This window comes from Homo sapiens, chromosome 8, assembly GCF_000001405.40.
Source record: "Homo sapiens chromosome 8, GRCh38.p14 Primary Assembly".
NCBI lineage: Eukaryota > Metazoa > Chordata > Mammalia > Primates > Hominidae > Homo > Homo sapiens.
The window spans coordinates 16,905,952-16,916,970 of record NC_000008.11 but is presented as its reverse complement, the minus strand read 5'-3'; the positions used below and the strand labels follow the sequence as shown (position 1 = coordinate 16,916,970).

General features: G+C 36.1%; 1 long non-coding RNA gene across 2 annotated transcripts in view; it reads left to right on the top strand.

Moving 5' to 3' along the window:
• Positions 1–898: 898 nt before the first annotated feature.
• Positions 899–11,019, top strand: part of LOC105379297 (uncharacterized) — a 132,858-nt gene continuing 122,737 nt past the window's right edge. Inside the window, exons 1-3 of one of the 2 annotated variants that reach the window (XR_949524.2) lie at positions 899–983; positions 1,938–2,053; positions 5,866–6,667. This is a non-coding gene — a long non-coding RNA (uncharacterized LOC105379297). Of the gene's footprint in view, positions 984–1,937; positions 2,054–5,865; positions 6,668–11,019 lie in introns of those variants that run through there. The other variant, XR_949525.1, reaches the window with a different exon arrangement.

Sequence of the window (11,019 nt, the reverse complement as noted above, 5' to 3'; positions counted from 1 at the left end):
AGATACTGAGGGGGCAGAGTCTATTTCATGACCTTGATTGAGTATGCAGCAACATTCTGGATCAACTAAATGAAGACTCGTTCATAACTTAAAATATCATATAAAAATTTAGATCAGTCATAGTGGCTAATGCCTGTAATCCTGGTACTTTGGAAGATCAAGACAGGAGGATTGCTTGAGCCCAGGAGTTGGAGGCTGCAGTGAGTTATGATTGTACCACTGCACTCCAGCCTGCATAACAGAGCGAGAGTCTGTCTCTAAAAAAATTTTAAAAATTAAAGCAATTATATTTAATTCCTATGGATCCAATACCTATCACTTAATGTATTATGGGAATATATGAGAGTCTCTCATGGGCTAAAAAATTAACCACAGTATGTTGGCAATTTCACAGACCACCTTAATTCATTTTTCCTGGTGTTTTTTATGATTGCTAAAAAAGGAGTTTTCTCTACTTTTTGAATTTTTTTAACTTAAACTGTGTATGTGTAGAACATATGTAATCTTGAATTAGGAATTGATATCTTAAAAAGTCACCTTTATGTATAAACCACAAAACCATGTCATTATTTTTTATTAAGATAATCCAAAATAATAATGTTAAGGCCTTTGGCTTGTTTATTCTTCAAAATTAATTTAATAGAAAATTCCCTAACCTTTAGTGATTGAATGGCATCAGATACAAAGTTAAAATTCAGCAACCTGGCTAAAATTCTATACAAAACACAAATTGCTACTTAATTGCATTTTAATAAATCCATTCCCTTCAATTCTTTTTCTTTTTTAATCTATTTTTCTTTTGGGGGGGTTTCTTTTTTTTTTTTTTCCTTTTCTTTCTTTCTTTTTTTTTTTTTTTTTGATACAGAGTCTCACTCTGTTGCCAAGGGTGGAGTGCAGTGGCACAATCATGGCTCACTGCAGCTTTCACTTCCTGGGCTCAAACGATCCTCTCATCTCAGCCTCTTGAGTAGCTGGAACCACAGGTGCGTACCACTACACCCTGCTATTTTTTAAATATTTGTAGAGTCAGGGTCTCATTATCTTGCCCAGACTAGTCTCGAACTCCTGGGCTCAAGTGATCCTCCTACCTTGGCCTCCCAAACCGTTAGGATTACGGGTGGAAGCCACCATGCCCAGCCTCTTCCAATTATTTTTTATCAAGTATCTAAAACTAAATTTACTAAGAAAACATTGGTATATAATTCCAGATCATTGTTATTTTAATTGGTGCCCCTCATAGTATGACAAACCCTTAGGGAGCCTCTGGGTCAGTATTTCAACTGACCTAAATTGTTTCTCTCTTCCTTCTTCCTCTATAAATCATTTTGCCTCCCTGAGTGGTTGAAATCTCAATTCTGTTCTTCCTGTCTTCTGTCTCATGCCTGAAGACTGCATTAGAGAATTATAATAATCTACAGTATTATATGAGTGGCAGAAACACTGCTCTAAGTAACCGAAAAGACTCTGCTTGTATAACTGAGTTGTCCCTTACAATGTTGTTGGTCTTGACTTTGCTTCCGGAATGAAATACTAATTAAATCATTTTATAATATGAAAACAAAAAATAAAACCATTTTATTTTTATATTCCCAGAAGTAATAGCAATCTATCGATAGCTTTTTGGAAGTTTCTCAGTTGACATTTCTGTCGGAAAAATGTGAGTCATGTATTATATTGTTCCCTTCAAGTAATTAATATACAAGTCAAAGCAAAAAGTTGTTATAGATGCTTATTATCTTTCATGACCTTTTGCTGTTAGAAATTTTTGTCTTTTTCAAATCATTTGAAATTTACCTTCAGATAGTGTATTTCTTTTTTCTGTTTCAATACCAGCATATATTTTAGAGTATATAATAACTCGAAACAAGCAGAAACTCACTATAGATGTTGTCAGGTATCCTCTTCCCTGTTCAAATCTTCTGTTCATTCCTCCCCAGATTGTTCATTTGGTCGAAGTGTTTAACCCTCCCAGATAGATGAGAACCATCCCTTGTCAAGGACATGAGTGACTATGAAGGCTGGCTGCAAACTCAAAAAAGGACTGAGTCAGAAGGTAATTGAATCTTTCCGATTTCAACAAATAGTTAAAGAGCATTGAATATGTGTGACCCATTTCTGAACCAGAGCATGGAAAAAGAAGAGCTGTAGAATTTGCTCGTCCTTGTGGACCTCAGGGTTGGTCTAATCCTTATTGATGCGATGTGGTTAAAAGGCTAAATTTCACAGAGACAGTCTAAAGTGAACAAATAACCCATATGTTTAATGAGGAAACAGAATACTATTGAATTCATCACCAACAACTAGAATTAGCCCTAGGCAGTGCGTAATCACCAACATAGAATAATGGTATTGGCCAGTTACCAGGGAATAAGGAAATTTTTGTTCCAAACAATGGACTTCCTCCTTAGCACAGTTCTATAAATGTTCCTGTCTAGCAGCAAAATGCCTATTTCTCCTTAGTGTTTGACTTAAAATGTAACTTCCTTGTTAAACCTAATCTCCAACTCTGGGCATTTATCACCACATTGAGCAAAATAAGGATTTTTTGCATGTTCTTATTTGTGTGTGGCTCTCTCACATTAGACTGTAAATTTTACAGAGCTGAAACAAAGTCTTTTTTGCTTATTGCATCTTCATTGCCTGTCACACCGTTCTTAGTTCATAATAAACGTTCAGTAAATAATTGTTGAATAAATAGAACCGATGACAGTTTTTATTTGTGCCAAAAAATGCTTTAGTATAACTAGACATATCTGAATTCCGGTGATGAGCACAGCGTATGTTCACATATGATCTCTTCTTCTGCTTCCATACACCCATGTCAGAAAATAATACACATGTGAAGTAAGAAGGGCTGGGACACATTGAAGGTGAGCTAATGGGGGGCACAGCTTCTTTAATTACAACAATTTAGAACAGAAACAATCCCTACCGTAAGAGTCTTGCTAACCTGGCAGGAGGCAGCAGAATCAGCAAGGTGTCGTGGAAAGTGTGATCACTGGCTAAGACTCAACCTCCAGCTACTCCATTTAGTGAATACAATGACCTTGAACAAGTAACTTAGCTTCCATGAGTTTCAATTCCTTCGTTTGATAGATGAGGGGGCTTGACTAGATGATGAATAGTTTATTCCTATTTATCAATTTTTGTTATGCCGTAGACTCTTCAATAGCCATGGACACAGAGATTTGATTTTTCTTTAGCAATAATACAAGACAAGTAGAGATGATGGCTGCCCTAGAGATCTTGACACTCAACCAAAAAATGTAAAGTCAGGAAACACAAGAACTTAGAAAATGACAAATCATATCTATCTATCTATCTATCTATCTATCTATCTATCTATCTATCATCTATCTATCTATCTACCTATCTATCTATCATCTATCTATCTATCTATCTATCTATCTATCTATCTATCTATCTATGACAAAAGCATAGATAGGAGGAAAAATCTAGAATCCCAATGTCCAAATCAAGCCACTAGGATAATTAGAATACTTCAGTTAACAATACTGCAAGTGCACTGCTGGACTTTATACTCTGCTTTTTATTCTCTGAATAATCTTCAGCTAGCTACTTGTTTTCTTCCATCACTCCTAAAGATACAAGGTCTCAGGAGTAACAAATCAAGCAGGCCCAAGTTCCTTGCTCATGGCCTGTCTCCTGAAATCTCTGTCTCTCTTTCCCTTTCTACAGAGAGAGCCAAGGCCTTGCTTCCTTTCTGGGGTAGCTGATCTGTTTCTGGGGAGGCAAAAATGTCAAGCATTTATCATATCTCATTTGTGACAAAATAACAATCTAGTGCATTATCTAATCTTAGAATTCTGAGGCTGGGTGATGTAGCTTGATGGCATGGATCCAGGCTTAGAAAACACCTCTTAGGCAGAACTGGGGGGAATGGTTTACGTGCCAGCCTTTGTTCCTGTGCATCTCAGCACTCCCACTGTTCTGAAAGCTGCTGCTCTGGGTTTTCCAGAGAGTCAGAGGAGGATGTGCTTTTCTGGCACTGCCAGCAGCAGCCCAGAGCCCCACGTTCTTGGGGAAGAACCATTTGTTGTCTACTCTTGCGCTTATTCCAGTGTCTTACTGCTCTGGGCTTTAGAAAATTAACATTTATTTGTTATACTTTAATTAAATTAATTAATTAATTAATTTATTTTTGAGACAGGGTTTTGTTCTGGTGCCCAGGCTGGAGTGCAGTGCACTATCATAGCTCACTGCAGCCTTGAACCCTTGGGCTCAAGTGATCCTCCCACTTCAGCCTCCTGAGTAGCTGGGAGTACAGGCATGTGCCACTGTGCCTGTCTATTTAAATTTTTTTTTTTTTTTGAAGAGGTGGAGTATTTTTTGTAGAGATGAGGTCTTGCTATGTTGCCCAGGCTGGTCTCAAACTCCTGGCTTCAAGCAATCCTCCTGCCTCAGACTCCCAAAGTGCTGGGATTACAGATGTAAGCTGCCATGCCTGGCCCTGAAATTTTCCTAGTGCTATGATGTTAAAAATGCATTGCATTGAAATGTGTACTTGTGACTACTCTTATATTGTCTGGTAGTCTCAAGGAACTCTTGGCTAGTAAGGGGGTTATGTAAAAGTTTCAAGTTGACTTGATCTCAATGAAATAAATAATCTGACATAATTTCAAGCATCCTTTTGTATGTGACTAAGCCCACTCTACTCTGCTAACTTTCTTAGTCCTGATCCCCAAAGTTTCAATTATATCTTGTAGTGTTTTATTTAAACTTTGTGATTACATGTGTATCTGTATAAAGTTACTATAAACTCTTTATGGACAAAATCTCCACAATAATTCACTTACTTAACAAATAATTAGGCACATGCAGTGTTCCAGGCTCTGAGTATACAACTGATGAACAAAACTCAGTTTCTATTCTCAAATAGCATATGACCTTGTGATGCACACATGTTACGTATAAAGATAATTATAGGGCAGTCTTATGAGGCATGGTATATGCACCTACATTCTGCCCTTCCTGTCCCAGCAGAAGAGTGGATGGGTACTCAGGTCGTCAGTGGGTAAGGGGAGAAAGTGTTACAGGTTTTTCAGAGTAGCTGAGAATGTATCTGAAACCAAGAGAAAGGGAAATTATTTTTTTAATACGAAAGGCATGAAAATGATATTTTAGGACGTGGGACAATATTTGAAAAGGAGTAGAGACACAAGCGAGCATGGCACATTTGGCAAGTGGAAGGTAGTTTGCTTACGATTGGTTCAGATTTAGTTTAGATTTTATCATTGGTGATATAGAAATTTTGGTATGAAACTGACATGATCAGATTTGAGCTTTAGGCAGATCACTTTGGTGGCATTCACTGTGGAAGATAAGGCAAAATATGCATAAAGGGATTAAATCTGTAAATGGTCAGCTATACATGATTACTAATTTCAAATTAAATAAAAGGCTTATGTGTTTAGATAAATCCACAAGAGATGTACATTTCCTCAGTAGGGCTCTGTTTGCAAGCTTGAAGCATCTAGCATTGATAATATGTGAACACATATGCCACTGGGTGGAACATTTGTTGGTTTACACACATAAAGACAGTGTGGATCTCAGAGCCATCTGTCAGATGCTTGGCTAGATGGTGTTAGAAAATCAGCATATCTTTGAGGTGGCTGAGGAGTAAGACGCTGAAATAATATTGAGTGATAGTCCCAAGATTTGAGAAGGACTTAAAACTATTTGATTCTTTAGGTTAATGGCCATTGTTTATTTATGTTTAAGTCTTACTCATTGTTGAGTAGGTGATCATAGACATAATGTAAGAAAAATGGGCAAATACTACTTCTGGCTTCCTTTTCCCCTTCCTTCTCCCTTTTTTGTTGTGTGTTTGATATCTTCCAGGCTCTGAGCTGCACGCCAGGGGGTTCACGAAGACTAAGATATAGATCTGATCTCATGGAACTCAATTTCTCTTAGAGGAAGCTGGCTGGACAAGAACTAATTACAATTTAGTTAAATTAAATTACTTACAATTTAATAAGTATTATGATAATGGCATACACCAAGATTTTGGAGAGCAGAGAAAAGAATAGTTCATTATTGTTGTCCAGCAGGACTGTGAGAGTTGTCACAGAGTAGGTGACACCTGAGCTGAGTGTTGAAGGTTGGACAAGATTTTCCCTTGTTAGGAGATAACATCAACAGGGAATTGCAGACTTCAGACAGACCACAATTTCCTTACTATTCAAAAAGAGCCCCTTGAATCTGTGTTCCATGATGCAAGAACATGAGGGCATATGTTAATACTGATGCAGGAGGCTCATTAAATTCTAATATTGAATAAAACTGAGACTTACATATGGGTATGATGCTGATATGGAGAAGGAAAAGATAAACAGTATATGTTGATTGCTACTATTTGCCAAGTGCTTAATATAACTGATCTCAATTAATCCAAACAGTCAGTTTAAGTGGGTATTAGTACCTATTCATTTGTAAAGATAAGAAAAATGTTCAAAGTCACTCAGTAGTAGCAACCAATATTTAGACTTGGTCTTTCTGACTACAAAAATCAATGCAATTTTCATTGTCTAGTTTCCTCTATGTGTCTGTCTTGGGTATACACTGTACATATCTACTTGTGTTATAATACTTGTATTATAAACATATATACATATAAATAAATACATAAATATACACATGTATATCTTATTTGTGTTATTTACCATGGTATACATCTATGTTGTTGGAATATTTTTGTTCACTAACGTAAGTGATTTGAAACTCAAATTTATTATGCTTTTCAAGATAAATACATTATTGAAGAATGACTTTGGAAACTTATGTAATGGACATTATCAGGCCTAATCCTTGTGTGAGCTGCACTCTTTTGTTTTATTTTGGTACAAAATATCAGTAGGACAGCCTGTACCTATATCAAGACTCAGCCCATCTCTGTGCCTTTTTATTGAGAGACTTTCAACACATAGCTCACTTACTGTTCACAAACACAACAGTTAAAATCTTTCATGTCAACAGGTTGGGGATCTGGCTGTTGAGTCAATGGGGGCATTTTGTTGACTTCTTAGGGTTTTTACAAAGGAGATCAAAGGGATGCATTATGTTTCAATACATAACTTTATAGGACAGATGGAATCCACCTTGAAAGACCCATGACACTTAAAGCCAGATTATCAAAAGTTTCAGGCACTAAAACCTATTAGCCTGCTCCAACCTGATCCTCACACTGTCAACCCTTTGTAGCTTCATTTATAGGTAGTGGACAGTCCGATTTGAATATTAACTACTGCCAAAGTTCAGTCACGGGTTAGAAGGGTGGCCACTGAAATATGGGTTGTTAAAATAATGCTTTTGTTTGGTATGAGGACTTCCTCTCTTAAATGGTGATATCACACAAATGACTAAGTCACTTTATTTGAATTAAAAAATTACCCACTTGTAAGTTTTGGGAAGAATTCCAGAGCTTAGAATAGTATTTGGCTAGGTGGTAACTTTGCAAATCTGTTCTATCTCTGATGAGAAAAGAGCATGAAAGAAAGTTGTTCATGCTTTCATCTTCCAGAAACTCCAAAGGGATTCTGTTTCTGCCCACATCTAACACTTGAAATACACACAACCTTTGAGTTTCCACCCCTCAAGCCTTGAAACAGATTGCAGTGTAACAAATGAGGGTGGTGTACTTGAGTATTCCTATTTTTTATCAGTGAAATAAATGATTTCTCTTTATACAAACTATTAATGTTTGACAAAAATCTTGTTTTGTAAAAACCAGTTAGCTATACCATATATGTAGTAATTGAAGACAACTGTTTTATAAATAAAGATACTTAAAAGACATCGTTTGATGACATAGGAATTTAATCCAGTGTTTGAAACTATCTTTAAGTGTAATTAAGTTCCAATTGTCTTAACATATACAAAGTCTCAGTACTATATTACCTATTATGCATACTGTTCTTTCAAATGGTGTTGTAAAGTGGAAAATTTTCATTTTTCTATAATGTGGTACTTCAAGTTGTAAATTATTAGATTTTAAAATTTGTCTTGTACTTTAAATAGTTTGATTAAACATTTTCCCAAAAAGATAGTATATTTGTTCATTTTGTCATGATTCATCTATTTATTAACTCGTTTTTAAAAAAGTAGATTAAAACAATTATATATTATTTAAAAAGTAGTCTGAATACATAAGGTACCACATTAAGTATGCAAATATTTAAGCTCTATAAATGACATGTCTTTGTCTTTCAAAAGTATTTTTTTCGGAGATATATATGCTGTATTTACGCTTGATAAATTTTCTAGTAATAAGAACTGCTTACCAAATGAATTGATTAGGCTCTGTGTCCCCACCCAAATCTCAACTTGAATTGTAATCCCCACATGTTAAGGGAGGGAAGTCACTGGATGATGGGGTGGTTTACCCCATGCTATTTTGGTATGTGAACTTGCTTGTATGTGATAGTGAGTGAATTTTCACAAGATCTAATGGTTTTATACACGGTAGTTTTTCCTGCATTCTCTCACAAGCTCTCTCACCTGCTGCCATGTAAGAGGTGCCTGCTTCCCCTTCGGCCATGATTTTAAGTTTCCTGAGGCCTCCCCAGCCTTGTGGAGCTGTGAGTCAATTAAACTTCTTTCCTTTATAAATTACCTAGTGTTGGGCAATTCTTTATAACAGTGTGAGAATGACCTAATACACCATACATGCTACAAAATGTCATAAGTTTAGTTTGCTTTAAATAATAACTTGTCTTCTTTTGGTGTTTTTAGAAACCTACTTTTTTTTTTTTCCAGTTTGGCTAGGAGAAATTGTGAATTCTGTTTTTTTTTTTGTTTTTCGTTTTGATTAATATAAAGTTTCCTTCCCAGCATGTTGCCAGATATATTCTATAATTAAACATTTAAATCTTGTAATATAGGGCAGTTTGGTTTGCCTGTCCTTCTTAGTGCCTCTCTGACAAGTACTCTTTTCCATTTCTGCCTTGTGGGGACCCATCAGGAGAAGAAGAGGTTAAAGGCATCCACCCACCCAGCAGGTGTGTATGGAGAAATTTCTGTCTTCCTTTGTTGGAGGCCCTGAAAGTACAGGTGTTGCACATCGGCGTCATCATTCTGTTTGATAGTTTGGTTTTGCGTGTGTCAGGTGGGGACATTTACACTAAATCTGAAGGGAAAAAACCTACATAACTTGTGTTGTCTAGGCTGAGAAGCATGAAACAGATTTTTTTTTTCTTGTTTTAAAGCTGAAAAGATTGGTGTGGCTTTACCTGTCAAGCTTACAGGTAGGAGTCTTGTTTTAACTTGACCATAAAAACAGATACAGTTTATTCCTTATTTAAAAAAAACGTTAAACTGCTCTAAATAGAACAGTAGGTATTTCCAGCATTTAGCCAGGAGTTCTTGGGCAGAGTGGAGGCCTTGCTCTAGTTGCAAAATATACTGCTTTTAAGACACTTGTATTTGTTCAGATCCTTTGGGTTTTAGCTATAATTGTACTTTGTTTTTTTATCACACTACCTGTCCCCTTAAATTAAGATGTATGTAGCACCAGGTCAGAGGCACTAAAAAAAAATTCTCCTTTAAAAACACAGAAATTACCTTTGGTATCTTTTGGCCTCCCTGGCTGGAATCCAGCTGTCACTTCTGCTCCATGATTCATTCTGATAATGTTAACCAGCTGTCGATTTAAAAAATCTATTATTGCTGGAGGTCACTGCAGGCTTTTTTGGTTCTTTCTGAAATAGCCAAACTAATATAATATTGACTTTGTATCCTTTATACCCAAATATGTTATTGTCATTTAAAAATCTAGGTGAAAAATATATCTATCATGCTTTGAATTACCTTCATGTCTGAGCATGATCCAAAAGGAAAAATAATTCTTGTATTTGCTTCTCATGGAAATGTATCAGGAAGGGTTCCAAGACTCCATAGTGTCAACCTGTGACAACAGAGATTTTCTGAAACATTTTCAATGTCCCATGTTCCTTATGAAAACAATCAGTTAACATTTCTATTAGGCGAGGGAAGAGGCCATGTGGCTCAACAAATGCCAATAATTTGGCAAATTATACAGCATTTATCTCTCTAATTAATTAAGCTGATCTCTTAAGTCACAACAATTGGTAGTAAGATGAAGACATATTCTATTAAAGGATTTTAAAATATGCTTCACACATTTTTAATGTTCAGTCTTGGTTATGATACAAATTAAATGTTGAGCCCTATAATAAGAAGGTGAAGATTGAATAACAATAATAATAATGATAAAAGCTACTATTTCTTTGGGGCCCAGTCTGTGTCAAGTAGCTCCGTTAATCTTCATACCAAAGACTATGCAAAGTATGAGAAAACTGAGAACAGGAAAGTTGTGACTTGAAATTGCTAGTTAATGAGTGACAGCTACAGTTTTAACCTGGACTCATCAATGCTCAAATAGCTTCTTTTTTCATCACGGCACATGCTTCCCAGTAAAGAAAAAAAATATTCTCTGTTAAAAGGAAAGAATTGTGTAACATGGTATTAGAATTAATTGCATTTTTAGGTTAGAATATAGTCATTCACAAAATCTGTATTGGGTTGACTTTATTACCAAAAGATTTCTAGCACACACATACACACACACACACACACACACACGCACATCCACACACTGCATGAGTGCTTTAAAAGAGTTAAGATAGTAAAACTAAATTGATGATATTATAATGCATGCCTCCTACGTGCTTGGTATAGATCATGTCATTTAATTATCACAATGACCCTATAGAGTAGATACTGTTGTTATTATTATTCCCATTTTACGCAGGTGAATGCACTGAAGTCTGATAATTTAGCAAGCGGAAAAGTCAGGATTTGAACACAGGCCTTTCTTATTCTAGGACGTAGGCTATACTGCCTGCTAGCCTTACTCTGAAGTTCAATTTTTTGCTGCACAAATTTGAAGGTACAGGGTTCACACGGTTTGAGGCTAAATTTATCCTGAACCCACGCTCTTTGGGAGGCCGAGGCGGGCAGATCACGAGATCAAGA